Genomic DNA, 22,398 nt, shown 5'->3' with positions numbered 1-22,398 from the left:
TTCAAGAAAGATTAAAAATGGATATTTTCAGTCAAATGTATAGAAGCAGAGAGTAGAGTGATGGTTGCCAGTGGCTGGTGGTGGAAATGAGGAATGAGGAGATTTTGGATAAATAATACAATATTTCAGTTAAGAGGATTAAGTTCATGAAATCTATTGTACAACATGGTGACCATAGTCAAAAACAATGTATTGGCTTGGCCAGGCGCGGTGGCTCACGCCTGTAATCCCAGCACTTTGGGAGGCCGAGGCGGGCAGATCACAAGGTCAGGAGATCGAGACCATCCTGGCTAACATGGTGAAACCCCGTCTCTACTAAAAAAAAAAAAAATGCAAAAAATTAGCCGGGCGTGATGGCGGGTGCCTGTAGTCCCAGCTACTCAGGAGGTTGAGGCAGGAGAATGGCATGAACCTGGGAGGCAGAGCTTGCAGTGAGCCGAGATTGCGCCACTGCACTCCAGCCTGGGTGACAGAGCGAGACTCCGTCTCAAAAACAAAAAAATATAATAAAATAAAATAAAACAATGTTTTGTATATTTGAAAATTGCTAAGAGAGTAGATTTTAGGTGTTCTCATTGCAAAAAATAATAAATATATGAGATAATGCATGGGTTAATGAGCTTGATTTAGCCATTCTGCAATATGTACATATTTCAGAACATCATATTGCACATCAAAAATATATACAAATTTTATTTGTCGATTAAATAAAAACAAGTGTTTTTCTTAACATATGTTATAGCTACTTTTTTATTGTAGTAAAATACCATAATATAAACTTTACCATTTTAAATCATTTTTAATTGATCAGTTCTGTGGCATAAGAATATTCACATTGTTCTACCACCATCATTGCCATGCATTTCTAGACATTTTTCATCTTTCCAAACTGAAACGCTGTACATTAAGTTCTAAGCCTCCATTTGCCCCTGCCCTCAACCCTGGCAACCACCATTCTGCTTCCTGTTTTTTATGAATTTGATTACTCTAGATAACTCATAAATCGAATCACACAATATTTATCCTTTTGTGCTTGGCTTATTTCACTTGGCATAATGTCTTCAAGGTTTACCCATGTTTAGCATATATCAGAATTTTCTTCCCTTAGGCCTGAATAATATTCCATTGCACACACACACACATATATATATATGTATATTCATTTATCCCTATATATGTATGTATATATATGTGTGTATATATATGTGTGTGTGTGTGTATATATATGTATATATATATATATTTTTTTTTTTTTTTTTTGAGAAAGGGTCTTGCTCTTTCTCTGTAACCTTGAACTCCTGGGCTCAAGTGATCCTCCCACTTCAGCCTTGAGAGTAGCTAGGACTACAGGTGTGTGCTACCATGCCCAGCTCATTTTTTAATTTTTTTTTTTATGTTTTGTGGAGAGGGAATCTTGCTTTGTTGCCCAGTCTGGTCTCAAACTCCTGGCTTTAAGCGATCCTCCCAGCTTGGCCTCCCAAAGTGCCAGGATTAGAGATGTGAGCCACCCACCTGGCCGGTTACAACACTTTTAACTGAATAATTTTATTCTTTAAAATACTATTGAAAAATCTAAGTGGGTAAACTTATTTTTATAAGATGCTTGGAAATATGGATATCATTATTTCTATATTTTTATCATCTACTTTCATTCCTTTGATATTCTTGAAGTATTTTATTTGCAAACATTATTGTTTTAACTTGAAAGTCTTAATATTTATTGAGCATCTATGTGCAGTGTGAAATATGTCTCATAAAATCTGGAACATCTGGCAACACATTGGTTCACTTTTTCACACAGGATTTTGTGCAGCTGAGTGGCAGTTATCATCTTTAAACAGAATTTGCATTCTTCAGTGGAACACAGATTTTATATTTTCTGCCTTTCTTATTTATACATGCCCAGACTGACACAGACCTGTCCCTGGGCTATGCTTGACATGTGTCTAGTCCAAATTAAGACATGTTGCAAATGTAAAATTCACACTGGACTTCAAAGATTTAGTATGAAAAAAGATGGCAAGATAGCCCATTAATACTTTTTGTATTAATTATATGTATAAATAATTACATTTTTGGTAAAGAAAATACATTACTAAAATAAATTTTACCTGTTTCTTTTTACTGCAGCTACTAGATAATTTAAAATTACATGTGTGCCTCACATTAAATTATTGTTCAGTACTGATCTCAGTGTTTATAGTCCAATTCAGGGGTTGCTAAGCCTGGGGGCCAGATCTGACTGGCCGCGTGTTTTGATATGATCAGAAAGTTAGAATGGTTTTCACAGATGAATATTTGTGATTGATTCGATGATAGGAAACATTAGCTTTGAACTCTAATTAAGTGAAATGTTATTCTCCTAAAAGGAATTACATTCTTCTCATTAGTAGATCTGTATTTCAAAATATTGTACTCAATTATATTTTGAATTTTGTAAAACACAACATGAAATTCTTTTCCCTCTTGTTATTTAAGTTCATATATTTTATCCTTGTTTTTGCCTCTGGTGTGCAAAGCCTAAAAAGTATTTACTATCTGTTTCTTTACAGAAACAGTTTGCCAACTGCTGACCCAAATGGGCTGGGCAAGACAAGTTTGAGAAGGAGCTAAGCATACTGGAAATGTTTTAGATTCCAGTCATCAAGAGTTCTAATCTTATTAACTGGTCTGACCTCTGAGTCTTAGTTTTTCTTATCTGCAAAATGACAATAATGATTTTTTTAGGGTTATATTGAAGATGAAGATACTGTATGAGATATATTGTGGACGAGGTGACTCTAATGTCTCCTCTGCCTAGAATGCTCTTCCCTTGTCCACCTTGACGTGGTCACCTCTTGCCCACCTTTAGCTTCATAACTTGCTGCCTCATGGGAGCATTTACTGGTGTGGCCTCCAGCCTAGGGTAGTTTCCCTCCAAATTCCACACTTCTTTTTATGCTTGTCATACTTACTCCTACTTGTCCTCTGTCTGCCTTCTTTCTAAGATGTTAAGCTCCATGAGGGAAATGTCTGGCTTGTTAACCACTGTTTCCTAACCTTGACACATAATGAGTATTCAATAAATATTTTTTGAATGATGTTGATGATGCAAAATTCTGTACATGTGACATAAAAAGAATTCAAAGGAAGGAGATTATTTTTTCTGTGGAGATTTCAAAGTTTGTGTCTTGAGAAATGGGTCATGTTTTGGGACAAATAGCTCAAACATACTTGACTCTTCCCCCCTACAGTACTTTCTTAAAGATAAGTGAGACAGTGCCAGCACTAGCACAGTGCCTGGCACATAGTAAGTCCTCAAGAAATTATCTCTCCTCTACTGATGGATGATGATGATGAATTCAAACATTGAACATGAAAATATCAAAAGACCTAGGTTCTAGATAAAGTTGAGAGGTCAAACTTTTTGGAAAGCAAAATGGAATCCATTTCAGACTAAGTAAATTAGTCCTCTTTAGTATCCAGATTCAAACCATTGTGAACAACAAAAGTTTTAGCTTTTTTGAAAAATGAACAGGATTAGAAATGCGGGACAGTAAAAATTTGGAATCCAAATTGGGTTCCGAAAGTCAGAACTAAGTAAAAATAAATCTTCTGAGGTTATATATTAGTTACAAGTTTATACAATAAATGTCCCTTTGCCTAAAAATGCTTCTGGTCAGAGTGGTAGCTGGCAGAACACAAGGCTGAACACCTGGGAAGAAGAACCACGTAGTAGGGCATAGTAATGCATCCACATTAGCCTTTCACAGCAGGAATGGACACTCGCGCTCCAGAGAGGACGGAGCCAGTAATGAAATCCAGTGCCAGGGTTCCCTTTTACAGCCTTTTCTAACCTTATATATTGTAAAAGGCTAGCTTTGCATGATGAAGATGGCTTCAGACAATGGACTCTTTATCCTCCTTTATTTATATTTATATATTGCACCAGACTTCAGGGCTTTCCAGAATTTCTTTTAATAATTCTATTTATCCCAGCCATAATTTTCACTACAGCTCTGTTCAGGTTAACTGGTATTTGTTAAATATCTATTCTGTGCTAGACATGAGAGATGTAGAGATGAATACATACTAAGAGCCCACTTTAGAGGAGCTCAGTCTGGTAGAAGGGATCAACATGTAAGAGACACCACTTACCACTGTGATAAGTGCTGTGATAGCACCCTGCATAATTAATATAGGAGCACAGTAGAGGGTATCAAAGATGGGCTCCTGGGCCTAGGACTGAGAAGTCAGAGCAGGCTTCCTGGAGGGAAACCAGAGCAGAGTCTGAGTGTATGTGTGAGTGTTAGTTGAGGGAGAGCATTTGTATTAGTCTGTTCTCATACTGCTATAAAGAACTACCTGACACTGGGTAATTTATGAAGAAGAGAGGTTTAATTGACTCACAGTTCCATAGGCTGTAGAAGAAGCATGGCCAGGGAGGCCTCAGGAAACTTACTATCATGGAGAAAGGTGAAGGGGAAGCAGGCACCTTCTTCACATGCCGGAGCAGGAGAGAGAGAGTGAGGGGAAGTGCCACACACTGTTTAACAACCAGATCTTGTGAGAACTCACTCGCTAGCGTGAGAATAGCAAGGGAGAAATCTGCCCCCATGATCTAATCGCCTCCCACCAGGTCCCTCCCCCAACACTGGTGATTACAATTCAACATGGGATTTGGGTGTGGACACAGAGCCAAACCATATTATTATAGGCAGAGCAACAGTTTGAACAGTGGCACAGGTGTGAGAGTGTGTGTGTGTGTGTGTGTGTGCATGACACTGTGTGAATGATACAGCATAGAGTTATGGTAATTGTGTGTGTGTGTGTGTGTGTGTGTGTGTGTGTTTTAAGACTGAGTCTGGCTCTATCGCCCAGGCTGGAGTGCTGTGGCACAATCTCAGCACACTGCAACCTCTGCATCCTGGGTTCAAGCGATTCTTGTGCCTCAGCCTTCCGAGTAGCTGGGATTACAGGCGCCCACCACCATGCCCGGCTGATTTTTGTATTTTTAGGAGAGATGGGGTTTCACCATGTTGGCCAGGCTGGTCTGGAACTCCTGACCTCAAGTGATCCGCCCGCCTCGGCCTCCCAAAATACTGGGGTTACATGCGTGAGCCACTGCGACTGGCCAGTAATCTACTTTTTATCCTTATATTCTCCACATCCCACAAAAGAATTTATGGTTATAACAAGTAATTACAGTGGGAATTCCCAGAGTGGGGAAGGAGCTTGATAATGCGATGGGGGTTTGAAGAGTAGATTTTGAGAGTCTCTCATAATTTCAGGATGTAGGGGCATTGATGACATGAGATAGTTGTATAACATGAGAATAACTATGACATAGCGTAAGGGCAAGTCAGAGTTGTAAGGAAGGGGATGGGAGAAGAGGCAGATGAGGAGGGAGAAGCCAGATAGTAATGCCATGATAAAGAGCTTGGGTTTCTAACCTGTAGGCAGTAGGGAGTCACTGAGGGGTTTGGAGTGGACAGTGACATTGTCAGATTTTTGTCTTACATTAGAGCTCAAAATCCAGCTAAATCCAAAACATAGGTATATGTATGGTTTAGCCCGCTCAAGGTTTAAAAATTTTTTGACCCAGTATTGAGAATATATCCAAACTTTAGAGTCTGTATTCCCTTATGGCAACAATATGTAGAGATAGATGGCAGCTGGGCCACTGGATGGAGAAAGAAACCATCTTTCTCTCAGTTCCCACACATTAAAGCCCATGGGAAGATTCCTGAGTGTTCCAATTTTGCTCATTCCTGAACTAATTATGCCGTTCTGTGGTTAGTCAGGACTGAGCCAATTAGCCTGCCCCATTGTGGCATGGTTTGCCATGATTGTTGTCTCTCAACTAGGACCAAATGAAATGGGAAGACTCAGTAACCTCTTGGATGGCCACAGGTGCAGAGTGGAGGTGTAAGCACACCACAAGACAGTAGAAAGTAGAAAGACAGTAAATAATTTCAACAAATGTGTGAGCTGATGTGCTCGAGCTGTGAATACACTGTTTTGGTGACACAAAGGAGATGACAGACTGCCTCAGGAAAGGCGACCCAAAGAGATTAGAGGACTTTAGTAAGCACAGAAATAGTGGAAGAGAATTTTCCCAAAATGCTCCTAGAATTTACTTGTTATCTCTGCCTAATTATTTCACTCTCAGCAACTCCTGATTTAAACAGTAGATCACATGGTTACCCTGCATAGAGCAACACTGTGGTGGAGACTTTTAGCTTTCCATTAGAATCACTCTTTTCTTTTTTTGAAATACAACTATACTCTATCTCCCAGCCTGACTTACAGTTGGAAATGGCCATGTGACTAAGCTCTCTCCAATGGAATGGAGGCAAAAATGATGTGTCCCCAATAGCGACAGAGTTAAGGATTACGAAAATAAAAAGACAGTGTGCTTCTATCCCTATTCCAAACTTCTTGTGTCGCAAGTCTAATTTGCACTGTGATGAGGAGACAGCTTTCAATTAGACATGAAATGAAAAAATTGAACCAGGTTGAATGAAAATTATTCATATTTAATTTTATTTTTAATTGACAAATAATAATTATATTTATGAGGTATGATGTGATGTTATGAGACACACACATCATGAAATGATTACATCAAGTGAATTAACATGTCCATTACCACATAATTATCACTGTTTTGTGGTGAGAACATTTAAAATTTTAAAATATATACAACATATTATTAACTACGGTCACCAGGCTGTGCAATAGATCACTAAAACTTATACCTTCTAATGGAAACTTTGTACCTTTTGACCTTTGTACCTTTCGATAACTATTGGTGACTAGATAGTTATAGGTCTGCTTAAGATGTTTTTAAGGAACATTTGAATGCATTGCTATGCAAAATAAGCAAGCTGTCAACTAATATGGCGATGTGATACCATTTCTGTAAACATAACATTCACGTACTTTACATGTACCTATATTTCTATACATGTGCCTAGGAAAATGTCTAAAATATTAAATACAAAACTGTTAACAGCACCTCTGAGTATTCATTAATTGTTGTATTGTATTAGAATAGATTAATGGATATTTTCAGTATGAAAAAATAATGACATTGGGTGCTGTTTTTGATAATCCTAGAGATGAAGTAGAGGTTAGGTAAGTTTCATTAATAATTGCAGACAGCCAGGGGATCTTTATCCAGTTTCTTTTTTGTATAATCTTCCAAAATGAATTCTCCTAGATTAAAGGCTCCAAATGTAATTTGTTTTCTCATTAGGTCATAAAAGATCATAATAGAATTCTGATTTTTGACTCTAAGCTTTCATAATTTTATGCTTCGATTTGAATTTAAAAATTGCCAGTTTGTTACTATCTAGCTATTTTTTCATTTTATCATATTTTCTGGTGTATCCAAGACAAAATTAAAAATCATAAGCGGCTGAAGTTAGACATGCCTGGATTTGAATCCTAGTTTTTCAATTTTCTTTGCCTTGTGTTCATGAGCATGCTACTTAACTTCTTTAAGCATCATTTACACAAATGTGCTGAAGTTATTTTGAGAGCTGAATGATACAGTGTATCTGCCGTGCCCAGAACAGTGTGACAGAGTAGGCAGTGAGTATCCCACCCTTTTCTCTTCCTCATCTTTGTTCTCATTTCCGTTCACTTTTAAGAAGCAGGAAATATAGTTTAATGCAATTCTTAAATAAGAATTTATTAATCTTCCATTGCCTGACACAATTTACACTACATTCTTTTTTTGATTCCCACAGAAGTTTAGTAGCCTGTTGGCAATTTTAAAAGCAAAGGTGATAATAGTTTATCTCCTTTTGTCTATTTTTATGAATTTTAGGGTTTTTTTGAATTATATTTGATCTTTTAAAAATTGAGAAGATATAAGGGAAAAAGCAATTATGTTGGAGAAAGTGTGGACATAGATGATAAGAAATAAGTACAGTAGTAAATTAGATATATTGGTGGGTGACAAGGAAAGGAGTATTAAAAAGAGGCTTTCTTATTACAAAATTAATGCATCTCTTTCTCTTTATACAGATAGAAAGATAGATAGATAGATAGATATTGTAGAAAATTTAGTTGAGTAAAGCTGATATAAATTAAAAAGAAAGACGGTTATACTACTTATCATAGCCTCACCATTCTGAGTAGCTATTCTCAATATTTTGGCATATGCCCTTTTTATATATACTGATCCATATTTAAAATTTTATTTACTTTTTGAGACTTGATTTTTCATTTAATGTAATGATATTATTTCCCATTGTTAAATATTTCATGGCATTATTTTAAATAGATGATGATATTCTACCCTACTGGTTTATTTTACTAATCCTCTTATTTTTGAACATTTACATAGCATGCAATCCTTTTACTGTTGCAAGCAATGTTTTGTCATCCTCTTAGTCAATCTTTGGGTGCATATCCATAGTTATTTCCTGTTGACAAATTTTTAGAAGTGGAATTTCTGGCAAATTAAGACCACAGTGAGAGATGCCACATTACTTCTGGAAGAATGGCCATAATTAAAAAATCAACAAACGATAGCTGTTAGTGTAGATGTGGTGAAAAGGCAACACTTTTAAATTGCTGGTGGGAATGTAAATTAGTACACCCACCGTGGAAAACAGTATGGAGATTCCTTAAAGAACTAAAAGTAGAACAACCATTTGATCCCGCAATCCTTCTGTGTCCGGAATTTATTCCTTCGGGTGGGTTCTTGGTCTTGCTGACTTCAAGAATGAAGCTGAGGACCCTTGCGGCAAGTGTTACAGCTCTTAAAGATGGTGTGTCCGGAGTTTGTTCCTTCAGATGTTCAGAGGTGTCTGGAGTTTCTTCCTTCCTGTGGGTTCGTGGTCTTGCTGACTTCTGGAGTGAAGCCACAGACCTTCGCAGTGAGTGATACAGCTCTTAAAGGTGGCGCATCTGGAGTTGTTTGTTCCTCCTGGTAGGTTCGTTGTCTCGGTGACTTCAGGAATAAAGCCGCAGACCCTCGTGGTGAGTGTTATGGCTCATAAAGTTAGTGCAGACCCAAAGAGTGAGCAGCAGCAACATTAATTGTGAAGAGCAAAAGAACAAAGCTTCCACAGCGTGGAAGCCAACCCGAGCAGGTTGCTGCTGCTGGGCGGGTTGCTGCTGCTGGCTGGGGTGGCCAGCTTTTATTCTCTTATTTGGCCCCGCCCACATCCTGCTGATTGGTCCATTTTACAGAGTGCTGATTGGTCCATTTTACAGAGTGCTGATTGATCCATTTTATAGAGTGCTGATTGGTGCGTTTACAAGCCTTTAGCTAGACACAGAGCACTGATTGGTGCATTTACTATCCTCTAGCTAGACAGAAAAGTTCTCCAAGTACCCTCTTGACCCAGGAAGTCCAGCTGGCTTCACCTCTCACTACTACTGGGTACTTACCCAAAGGAAAAGAAGTCATTGTAAGAAAAAGACACATGCACATATGCATGTTTATAGCAGCACAATTTGCAGGTGCCCATCAACCAATGAGTGGATTAAGAAAACGTGGTATATATACACCATAAAATACTACTCAGTCATAAAAAGGAATAAAATAATGTCTTTTGCAGCAGCTTGGACGGAGCTGGAGGCCATTATTCTAAGTGAGGTAACTCAGTAATGGAAAACCAGATATCATATGTTCTCATTTATAAGTGGGAGCTAAGCTTTGAGGATGGGAAGGCATAAGAGTAATATAATGGATTTTGGGGACTTGGGGGGAAGTTGGGCGGGGGTGAGGGATAAAATACTACATATTGGGCACAGTGTATACTGCTTGGGTGACAGGTGCACCAAAATCTCAGAAATCACCACTAAAGAACTTATCCATGTAACCGAAAACCATCTGTACCTTGAAAACTATTGAAATAAAAAAAGAAGTGGAATTTCTGGATCAAAGAGACCGTGAACTTTTTTTTTTTTTGAGACGGAGTCTTGCTCTGTATAAAAGAAACCATCATAATATTTGATAATCAGCAAACCAAAGCATAACAACCATTTTAAAAGAGTATTATATTTAAAGGGTTATAATTTGTCTAAAAGGACAAAAAAGGGAATTCTCCAAAACTTACTTAGCACTTAAAGAAACTTATTTATTTATTTATTTATTTTATTTTTTGAGACAGGGTGTTTCTTGCTCTGTTGTCCAGGCTAGAGTGCAGTGGTACAGTCTTGGCTCACTGCAACCTCCACCTCCAGGCTCAAGCGATTATCCCATGCCTGGCTAGTTTTTTGTATTTTTGGTAGAGATGGGGTTTTGCCATGTTGCCCAGGCTGGTCTCGAACTCCTGAGCTCACGTGATCCGCCCACTTCGGCCTCCCAGACTGTTGGGATTACAAGTGTGAGCCACGGCGCCCGGCCTTAAATGGCTAAGATCTTTTTCCTTTCCTGTTTTTTTTTTTTTTTTTTTTTTTTATAATAATAAATTCTAGCTCTTACACATTCTGTGGAGAAAATGGTTCTAAATTAGTCCTGACTCAGTAGCCAGATTATAAACTTTTTGCTTAGATATTCTGCCATGATCAGGAATGCCATGTGCCCTAACCTGAACTCAGCTTGCCCTCTCAAACTGCCTCTCTACTGCATTTCTTCCACTACCACTCTGAGTTTTGGAGGAACTGTGCTCTGCGAGCTAAGGGGTGGGCCCCTGACCCCAGCCAGGCCAATCAGCCTCTCTCTTAAGAGATAGTCATGAAGGGAGCCACTTAGAGGCATAAAGAATTAGAGAAAATCTGTACCATTAGCAGCACTGTAAAGAGACTGTCCCTTAGATCGAGATGTCTGGAGTGATTCCCACTCTCTACAGACTCTTTCTTTGGCCTTCCCTTAAATTCCATGGGCTACCACCTGCCATCCTATTAAATTATGGTTTTGCCTAAGTTAGCCTGGATCAGCTCCCATTGATTGCAACCCATCAGCCCTAATAGATATGTCACATATGTCCTCACAGTAAATGTCCCATGAATTTGGAAGATCTGAGCGAGTATCTATTCCTTGGAACCTAAGGTATCCAACTCAAATATCTTAATCATGTCACAAGTTTAAAGAAGTCCTTCATATATTATAATGGTTAATATAACCAGGGTAATGATTTTTAAATTATCAGTGTGCTTTTCTTTCAGGCCTTTGCAAGTACAAAGCTGCCAAAACTAGCCCCCAGGCATCCCTAGAATTTGTCACAATAATATTGTTGCTGAGTGTTCAATGGAATTGTCCAACAAGACAATATCCTTGCAAAAAAGGCTGTTTCCTTGAGAGAAAATTTTTCTCTCAAGAAAAACCTTTACTCCTCCCAATTAGCATATACACAGTTAAACTTAGAAGGCTCAGCCCACAAATTTCCCCCTTTAAAGTTAAGAGTAGGACTCTGTCTGTTGTTGAACCTTTGCTGGAGTGAGGAATAAGAAAGAAACAACACAGAAATAAAATAAAATTTCAGCCCCTTCTGTCCTAGAGGAAATACAGGAAGAAGTCTAAGAAAAGGGAGAATAAAACTCAAACAGCCAGATGAGTGAGTCCTAAATGCTCCTTCTGCAGGGTGTAGCTTAGGGAGGAAGACAAGTACCAGGTAAATGAAAACAAGTGCTTAGGCAGAAGGGACTTCTGCCCCACTCCCCTTAATATTGAGACACAGGAAGAAGCTATGCTGTAGCAACCTAGGATACAGCCACCTCGACACGATGGCATATCAAAGGCAGGCGGAAGGAGGCCTGAGATTTTCTGAACCACGCTTGGTTTTCATGTGTCCTAGGTCATGGAAGTAACTGAGAGTTAAGCTGGGATGTTTGTCCCAGGATATTGGCATACTCAAGGAAAGATGGCTCTATAGTGATGATAGTGTCACAGACCAGTTAAGCCAAGGTCAAGTGGGTGTTTCAGCCGGACGTTAGAAGGAGTTTCTAATAACACAGGAAGTCAAGTTTAGGTTGGATCATCTAGGAAGCACCACCATAAAAAATGCCTGAGCCAAAAGAATGGGCCACAAGTTCACACACTGCAGGCCAGTGGGGCATCCAGCAGCCAAGTGAATGTGGGCCATCCTTCCATCGACCAGCAGCTGCTGTGTCAATGTGTACATTCCAAAGGGCAGCACAACATCAGAGGCCCCTTCCCCCAACACCTTGAGGATATGAAAGCCACACAACCCCTTCTTCCATGTTGCACCTTAAGTAAACCAACGGGGAAAAGGAGAGGCTTTCTGAGAGAAATCATGACCTAAAATAACTATTTAAATGACTAGGGCTGGGCATGGTGGCTCACACCTATATTCCCAGCCCTTTGGGAGGCCAAGGTGGGCAGATCACCTGAGGTCAGGAGTTCAAGACCAGCCTGGCCAACATGGTGAAACCCCATCTCTACTAAAAAAACAAAAACAAACAAAAAAAAATTAGCCAGGCATGGTGGTTCAAGCAGGTAATCCTAGCTACTTGGGAGGCTGAGGTCAAAGAATCCTTGAACCTGGGAGGCGGAGGTTGCAGTGAGCCGATATTGTGCCACTGCACTCTAGTCTGGGCAACAGAGCGAGACTCCTTCTCAAAAAAAAAAAAAAAAAGACTGGATTAAACTAAGCTTTAAACTGATTTAGACATTCAGTTATTTTGCCCCCATTATCCAGTGGGTGAGAGCTCAGGAAGAAAGTAATATTAGTGTCTAACTCAGTCATTTAGTTATTTTGCCACAAATTATATACATGCATGTGATGTAATGTATTGATAGACTAAGCCAAGGAAAAAAGACAAAACGGGATTTATAAGACAAAGGAGAGGAATAAATGCAGCCACACTGCACATATTTAGGGTAATAAGCTGGCACTTACCAAATTGAGAAGGACAATCAAGTGTATCAAATAAAACATCGTAAGTTGTTTATGAATTCTCCAAAACATCTTGAGAGTTCAGCTGAGAATCACGTCTGCCAGGCTGTCTCTGTATTCTTTCTGCTCATGCTGCCACTTCAGTGAGGCCAGTCCCGCATACTTTTCCTCATTCAAATTTCTCATTACTCTACCCAAAGAGAAGAACCACATTTTCTCTGTGCATTTCTCACCTACTAAAGTAATTATCTGAATCAAAGAACTTGAGAACTGCATTCAGAATTCTGGGATCCTGAAAAAATAAGCCAGATAGGCCACCACCCTTATAGAGCAGAGTGTGAATGTCGCTTAAGCTGGGCATGATGTACCTTTCAGCTCCAATAAGGCTACTTCCGGTCATTACCTAGTAAAGATCTCTTCAGACTGGTTTCCTCAACGCACTCGTTCCTATCTTCGAGTATTTCTCCTGCCTCTCTGCCCATCTGGTATGGACTCCATCATCCAGACAAACCCCATCAATCCTTTGTGGCCCAACATTGGTCCAACCTCATCCATGAAGCTCTATCTGGCTCCGTCCTCTCACCATATGCATACAGATATGTACTTCATTACTTTTCTAAAATCCAAAAAAAATCTGAATTTCCACAATACATTGAGCATCAAGGGCTCAGATAGGGATTGTGGCCCAAATTTCAAATCAACTAGGAAAAAGTGAATTATGAAATAGGTACTATTAACTATCACTTTAGAAGAACATGTTGGAGGCATTTTTTTACTTCACACACTTTTGGTAACTTAAATATTTAAATATAATAATAAAAGTTATAGAAGATAATATAGTTGGAGTCATAAAGTCTAAAAGGAAATGGGTCTTTCTAAGTCTAATATGGATAGAATTAATGAAATGAATGTCTGGAACTATACCTCAAAAAGGAACTTTAATAACATCAAAAGCAACAATATACTGAGAAAATATTTGCAATGTGACAATAAGTTAATATGCTTAATATGTGAAGTGCACTTTCAGACAGATTTTCAAAATCATTCATAAAAAGATAAAAACCAAGGAAAGTAAGAGCAAAGAAAGTAAACATACAACATAAAAGAAAAAATACATATAGCAAAAGAAAATACATAGAAAAAAAGTTCAATATTACTACTAATAGAATAATTCAAACTAAAACAATGAGATGATGTGTTTTAACTTACCAAACGGTCAAAAAATTTGATGGATGATAAAGATTAGTGGATTTAAGGACTAGTGAATACAGGGAAACTGGTGTTTTTATTTATAGCTAGTGAAAACATAAATGCTACAACTATGTAGAGGAAAATTTGTCAAAGAATATCAAACCTTAAACATTTGCACAGTCTTTGGCCGGGCACGGTGGTTCATGCCTGCAATCCCAGCCCTTTGGGAAGCCGAGGCTGGTGGATCACCTGCTCAGGAGTTTGATGCCTGAGCAACATGGTGAAACCCCGTCTCTACAAAAAATTAAAAAAAAAAAATATTAGCCAGGCGTGGTGGCACGCGCCTGTAGTCCCAGCTACTAGGGAGGCTGAGGCAGGAGAATCACTTTAACCTGGGAGGCGGAGGTTGCAGTGAGCCAAGATTGTACCACTGCACTCTAGCCTGGACAACAGAGCAAGAAAGACCCTGTCTCAAAAAATAAAATATAATAAAAAAATAAGTAAGTTTCTTTAAGTGCTAAGTAAGTTTTGGAGAATTCCCTTTTTTGTCCTTTTAGACAAATTATAACCCTTTTAAAATAATACTCTTTTAAAATGGTTGTGTTTTGGTTTGCTGATTATCAAATATTATGGTGGTTTCTTTTATACCTTCTCTCTTAAACTGCCCTCAAGAAGCTGCAGACTGTGATCAAAGTAGCGTCATTCAAAGAATTAGCAAGGATAGGAGAGGAATCCCTGGCTTTGGAAGCTTGGGCTGCATTAACCATCACTATTGCTCAATGTCTTAGGGCTAATTTATGGCAGAGCCAGAATTCACAGCCAGTTATAAATGAAAGGTTTCTATCTCTTCCCCAAGATGAGAAGTGGCACTCTTGAATTTCTTTATAGAGGGACTTAAGTGAGATTACATTACTAAAAGTAGGGGCTAGGTCAGGACTTAGTTAAGGCATCTCTAAGATTGCTACTGAGTTAAGCATGTATAGCTTGAGGGAATGTAATTGAGCCAATGCAGAGCTGAGAACTGAGTCTTCAGTTCTGCCTGCATTGTAAGACTGGGCTCTTGGCACATATGCTCCACTTATATTTAAGTTCAAAAATAGATTAAGTATGGATTCACAGTAACCATCTAGCCCTTTGCTTCCCAGTATGAATCATTCCTTCTACTACTTCAGCTGATTGGATCAGCCATGCCCTTTCTCTCTGCTTCTTGCTCAAGGTTCAGCTTGTCTTCTCCCCTCCCTCTCCCAAAGCTATGTCCAGCCACTTCACTCATTTTACTTAGAACTAGTTTCATCATGTAATTAATTATTAATTAAAAATAATAAACATATTACTTATTAATAATGCCCCGTATTACCACTTCTCATCTTTTTCTAGCCAGATACTACCTATTATTTATGCTTCTCCATCTCCAGCCACTCCATCTCTAAATGATATTTCTATCCTTCTTACTTATAGATTGTATTGTTTATGTGTCCATTTGGCCATTATGATGTGCCTTGTGTCATATATTGTTTCTCACTTCCTATTGTTTTTTAATTGTCTCCTTAACCATATTGCACTTTACTGTTAACCTATTTGTATCTGGAAAAATGTCTAGTACAGTTTGTTGCGTGTGGAAACATGTCATATTATTTAATGCTGTGATTTTCTAAATTATGAGGGAAAGTGCGATCAATTTGGTTCAGCTCAGGTTCCCAATACCCTCCTTGCCCACAGCTACAATTTTAATCAAGAGCTCAGTTTTTGTAAAAAATTTTAGAGGCTAAAAGACAAAAAAAAAGACCATTTATTAAACTTGCCCAGCTTAATTATAAACCTGGAAACCCGATCTTGTGCTTCTTCATAGTCCTTAGTCTGATTCTGAATTAATAGTAGGTATTTAACAATTATTAAGATCAAATACATAAGATTATAATATCTTATTAATTTTAGGAATTTAAAAAACATTTAAATTAATTTTAAGTCAAAGATAGTTGGAATATATCCTTAATTTATCACAAATGTTGAGCACATAAAGTCATTCTTTAAAGAAATTCTATTATCCTAAAATACACCTTCTCTATGAACTTATATGTGTAATAGAGATAAATAAAAGAAGCATATGTGTATACACACACACACACACACACATACACACACACACATCCTTTGAAAACTCCATTTGATAGTCCCAAGAATCAACCTTACTATTTATGGCAGGAACAGATAGCATTTATTTGATATGTTGACCTTTCCACCAGTTTGATTTTATACATTCAAACTTTTCAAACCAATGCCTGGATTTTGGATTCATTTTTGTGGACAGGTAGGCAACCAAAAATATCAGTCCTATCCAATTTGAAAGGGTACAGACTCATTTATTGTTTAATTCTTTTACCAAATATTTTTTGTGTGGCCACTCTTAATTCCAGTAATGAATTTCCAGATACAAATTAACTAGGTTGACCAAATTCAGAGTTTTCTGGACATCCATATACCAAATAGTGGCTTCCCCCACTCTCCCAGCAGCCACCTCCCGTTCCCATACATAAATGGCAGCCAGCAATGGCTAGAAACAAAGGACTCTCTCCCAGTCCCTGAATACAGTGACATTCATTCTGAGAGAAGCTGGGGCAGCTCTTTGAAAGCCGACTTCTTCAGCTCTACAATAACACACAATGAGTTATTGACTTGTTTATATACGGAGCTCTTTTCAGTAACTAACTCTGACTCCCACAGTCTGGACAAATGATTGATTTCGTGGTTAGAAAAAGAGAAAGCTCTCGCGCTAAACTCTGTAGTGCAAACTACTTCTTCTCCATTTGTTCTGTAACTGAATAGGACCTTATTAAAATGCACTTTCCAAAAAAATACCTGCAGCTGGCCTTTATAACCATGTTTTGTATATATAAATAAGTAATTTGTCCCAGTCTTTTGTATATTAGCAGACCATTGGGAAACTTGTCAATATATATGAAGGCTGATTATCATGTTGTTTCTGCTAAAACAGTATTACCTATATTGATCTGCATGTAAAATATGGATCAAATATTTATTAATAGATCAACTGATCTATTGATCTCATGAAAACCTTGGATTTTTTATATTAATAGATTCAGTTTTCTTGTTGGGTCATGTTGATTCATTAAGCACATTTTATATAACACATATCATATACTTCACATTTGAATCATTAGCTATTCTTAATACAGAGAAAACAACATGCAGAACTATAGTTCAGAGCAATGAGAGTTTGGTTGGACTAAAAGGCTTTTCCACCTTTGGCTAGTACCTATCTGGAATGTCAATATGAATTAGGTAGACACAACACACTAGCTGGTTAAATTACTGTACCTTTTTTAAAGATATTAATAATTGAACTCTAGAGTTACTATAGTATTTTTCTCCTATAAAAGAGATTTTTAAAGATCTTAACATGTTAAAATTTTTACACAATCTGTATTATTTTTCTAAGCACACTTTAAAATATTTTGGGGAGAGTTAAAAATAAAACCCATCAGTCTGAGTGATGCACGTAAGATGGGATCACTGCTGTTCTGACTTATTTCTCCAGCAGGAGGTCTTGAGTCCATTTTCCCCTCTAGGATGTCCATAAGAGAGCTTCCTGAGCCAGCAAACATTTGAAGAATTCCTCAGAATTAAGAGCACTTTTAATTATGGTCACAAGGGGCTACATGTTTTAAAAAGAACTATATATTACTAAACTATGAACCCTTAGGGCTTTGGAGAGGGCACAGTGCCTGACACCTTAGTATTAATAGTTTTAAGTAAACTGATATAGTTTGGAAGGTAACAACCAATGGAAATTGTTTCATTGGAATCTGTTACTTCAGGTACACCTTTGTGGATTTTTTTCCCTTAGTTTCTAAACTAACTGCTTAATGTGAATTTATTCCTTTTTATCTTCTGTTTGTCTAACCAGACCATTTTCCTGAAAAAATTTTGTTCAGTTTTCTTTGACAGAGCCATTATGTTTCTTGTTTCTTTCATTTTGGATACTGTTCTTGACTAGTTTCTTGATTGTTCTATTCTGGTTGCCATTAGTATTGAATGAACCGAACTTTAACCTAAGTATGTATGGCTAATGTTTGTTACAAGTTTTAAAAATCTTAGCAGCAAGGCCTGACAAAAATGATGAATGAAACCTTCCTGTTTAGCTTGTTAGATTTTCATGTGCACAATGACTATTTGAAGATGCCTTCTTATATTTAAAAGGGACAAGATATATTTAGAACCAAGTGACTTGATTTCCTCCTCCCCTACATGGTGGGGATTTGATTTTTCAGTTATATACAAATTTTATCCACCTTTCTGTTTCCAATTTTTAATTTTTGAAATCTCTACCCTTCTTAACACATGAAAAATCAACCTCAGAAATATCAAACCCATTGACAAAAAGTTATTTCATATATTTTAGATAAGAACAGCAAATCGAAAGCATATAGTTTTATTTTAATGAAGAAACAGGATATTCTCATTAAAGGTGACAGGAGAGAAGAATCTTACCATTGTTACCATGTCATGGGGTTTGAGGGAAAGATGCTGTTAGCACTGCATATTATTAATACCTCAGGCTGAAAATGCCCTTTCTTAATTTGACTTTTTACTTTCAGCGATTTCCTCTAAATGATTTCATTAAAATGTATCTTTTGGAATGCCTTGTCTATTTCTAGAAAAGGACCCATGTGTGTATCCTTATATTTTGATGACCATTTATTTCTTAATATCTTACTGCACTTCCCTTTTGGGACTATGCTGTGATGCTTTTCAGTAGCATTGGTCTGTTTTCCCCCTTTTATGTAGATTAGCTAGTGCTTCTTTAGTAGTTGAATATTAGAGTGGAGGTGATTTTTTTTTTTCCAACTGTGGTGCTTTCAAAGGTAAAGAATTCCCACCTTTTGAATAAAAAGTTCCCTGGCAGCAGTTCTAAATGTCATGGCCCTGAAAACTCGTTAGCATCGGCCTCACCTGCTGTGGCACCAAAGAGTTTCATGGCTCTGTTTTTGTTTTGTTTTGCTTCCCTTTAAGAAAGATCTGTTCTGAAAGTTTTTGCATTTGGAAATAAATTTTGTAAAGAATAGATGAACTTGGTAAATATTCTCCAGTCCCTCTCTTCTACACCCGTTTCCTCTCGAGATGAGAGCTCCCCTGATCAAATAAACAGATGCTTGAGACCAATATGTTGTGCCATGGTTCACACCTAGGCTTCCATGTGTGGAAGTTGAGCTTGATATTTAAGTTTTCTTAGTATTAAGGGCTTTTTTATATATCCCTTGAAAATAGTTTCACATAATGATTTTTCAAAAACTCTTTATCACTGATTCTCAGTCTAGGGCAGGGATTGGCCAACCACTGCTTGTTGGCCAAATTCAGCCTGCCACATGTTGTTATTGTTGTTTTTTAAAGTTTTGTTGAAGCACAGTCATGCTCATATACATATATATACATGACTCTGCCATTGTAGCATGAAATAGATATGTATATACGTGTATATATATATAATGTGTGTGTATATATATTTAGTGTCTATTTCATGCTACAATGGCAGAGTCAAGTAATTGCAACAGAGATTGTATTCTCCCCCCACCCCCATAAAGCCTAAAATATTTACGATCTGGCCCTTTACAGAAACATTTCCCAACTCCTTATCTAGGGTGATCATCAGAATCACCAAAAGATTCCTGGGCCTTTTCTCTCTAACAAAACGGAATCTCTGATATACTTAGCTGTGTCTCATATCATCAGATGAAGTGTCTACAGGTTTAATACTATTATTCTAGTATATATGCACATCTAGATTCAAGAGGTCATATTTTTGAACCTCCCTTCCTCTATTTTATGCCAAATATAGGAGTAAGTCTTCAGGTAGGGTTTGGATTAAAGATTTATGTTCACTCAGACATGATTTTCCAGGCATACAATTGAGAAAGCTTACTTCAAATAACAACACTAACAAAACAAAATGTAAAAACATGGTCGTTATTCATTTTTACTCCAATCCTCAATAAGGAAATATGGTATGGCAAGTCCGTTGCTAAAGAATTATTAAATATTCCAATTCAGAGGGTTCTCTGTTAGGCTCTTGTTCTCTATTAATGTCAGTCTGTTGAGCAAATATTATTTTGGGAGTTTAACATCATTTTTGTTTGAAAATAAGAATTTCATATAAAACATAACAATTGCATGTTTAGCATGAAAATAGCATTTGTTTCTATAAGGATTATTTATAAAGAAATATAGAATGGGCCACATTCATTTTTTTGTAACACATGGGTTGGCAGCAGTAGTAGAAGACCTTTATCTAGCTTTGTAAATGGAGCAGGTTCAAAGTAACTGTTTATGTATTTAGATACATGATCCTTTGTCATGAAATATTATAAGTGATTTAGCACCATTCTAGACTGTTGAACTGACACATTTAGTTTATGTCATTGACTTCTTATCCCGACATAACAGCAAACAATTTACTCCCTATGCATAATGAAAGGATTTAATAGAAATATTAACCTAATTTTTTTTTAAAAAGTTGCTGTGTCCATTTTAATGAAGTGCTTTAAAAAAGTACTCATCAGTGTCTAATATCTGCAGTTAAGGACACTCTTGCCCTAAGTCATCTTTAGTAATCCTCAAAACAATAAAAGATTGAAAGTAAAAGATTCAGTTTGTTAAATGTTTTAAATATAAAAATGAAATTCAGAGTTTATTTTCATGTACGTATCATCAAAATTAATATCAAATCACATTCATGATTATGCTTAACTAGTTGTTTGAATAAATGTTGCTATTAGGTGTCAATAGATACCTGCTTTCATGCTGTTTATTTGTTTTTTCTAGTTGAACCTGGTCATGAATGAACAGAAGGAGAAAATTACAGAAAAAGTCATTCTTTCAATGACGGCAAAGGAACACCATAAGGAACAGGAAGAAGTAAGGAAATTACTTTGTAAACTGTATTTTAAAACTGCAATGAGGGCCAGGCACAGTGGCTTACGCCTGTAATCCCCGCACTTTGGGAGGCCGAGGCGGGAAGATCACAAGGTCAGGAGTTTGAGACCAGCCTGACCAACATGGTGAAACCCCATCTCTACTAAAAATACAAAAATTAGCTGGGCGTGGTGGCGGGCGCCTGTAATCCCAGCTACTCAGGAGGCTGAGGCAGGAGAATCGCTTGAACCCGGGAGGCAGAGGTTGCAGTGAGCAGAGATTGCGCGACTGCACTCCAGCCTGGGCAACAGCGAGACTCCGTAAAAAAAAAAAAAAAAACCTGCAATGAACACTAATTTTAAAATGAAGATAAATTTTACTTTGAGTCTTATAGTAAATCAACTCTTGTTAACTGAAAACAACTTATGATAGAAACAAAGTGATCACAACCGGGTATCATTTTATTGATATAGACAGCATGAAAAGTAATTGTATACTTGAAAGAATAAATCAAAATATAATTTTCTGAAAAAAGTCTCATGAATATTTTCTCATAAGTTTTCTAAATTAGTAAATTGTTACATGCAATTTGAAACTGGAAGTTATAAAACCTACCAACATAGGAAAAACAAAAATTTTTTGAATTTTTGATAAATACTATATCTTGCTGTTACATCTGGTTTTCTAAGAATAGAGTTATTGTTCTGAATTTTAGAAATACTAACAAAGTTATTTTTTATCAAGGGAAAACTATAGTTTACAAATGTTAAGCCTAAGTGAGCTAATCAGAAGATTCTGTAGGCAATATTGTAATGAGGAACAATATTATTATTAAAGCAAACCTTCCTCTCTTCAAAGCTCATGCTGTAAAGTTGACAGCATAGTCCATAAATGAAATAATACAAAATTGGTGTTAGACAAAAGGGGAAAATGATTTTCATGTCGTTTCCTGGAATGCAAAAGCATTTAATCTTTCTAAGGAAAGAATGTGAATTTTCTAATTTCTATGTACCACTGTCAGTAAAAATCCAAAGTAACTTCAGAAATAAGATAATGTGAATATTTTAAAAATAAACTTTTCATATATTTCTTTTTTGATATTTTGGTAAATAAATGCATTCAAGCTTCAGGGTTTTGGTATTTCTTATTATGATTTCATCTTCCTTACTAACCATGTGTTTTGTAATAGATGAACAGGTAGCATGCACCAAATTTTCCTGTGTAAATTCTATTCTTACATTAGAGACCATATTAGTATTTGGGACACACTTGTCTGGTATTAAAGACTATATTGTAAAAATTGATTAGCCATCTCAGTAGATAATATTTCATAAGGAAAATTAAACCATTTCTAAAATGTAATAAATAGCAATTACACAGATTTAAATTATAGTTCTGACTCATTCTCCTGAATATTAACAAGTTACAAGACTAGGTTGTTAATTATAAATTTGAAAAAATATCATTCTCTGTGTGT

General features: G+C 36.9%; 1 protein-coding gene across 23 annotated transcripts in view; it reads left to right on the top strand.

Moving 5' to 3' along the window:
- Positions 1–22,398, top strand: part of DCDC1 (doublecortin domain containing 1) — a 506,137-nt gene that overhangs the window by 211,124 nt on the left and 272,615 nt on the right. For all 23 annotated transcript variants that reach the window (NR_170625.1, XR_002957144.2, XR_002957145.2 and 20 more), the window contains one exon: positions 20,832–20,924. Coding sequence is in view for 20 of the 23 variants with exons in the window: in XM_024448478.2 (XP_024304246.1) it covers positions 20,832–20,924 (93 nt within the window). In the remaining 3 variants the exon portion in view is untranslated. The remainder of the gene's footprint in view (positions 1–20,831; positions 20,925–22,398) is intronic.

Source organism: Homo sapiens, chromosome 11 (genome assembly GCF_000001405.40).
Source record: "Homo sapiens chromosome 11, GRCh38.p14 Primary Assembly".
NCBI lineage: Eukaryota > Metazoa > Chordata > Mammalia > Primates > Hominidae > Homo > Homo sapiens.
Note: the sequence above shows the minus strand (reverse complement) of the source record. Positions and strands in the feature narration are given on the sequence as shown.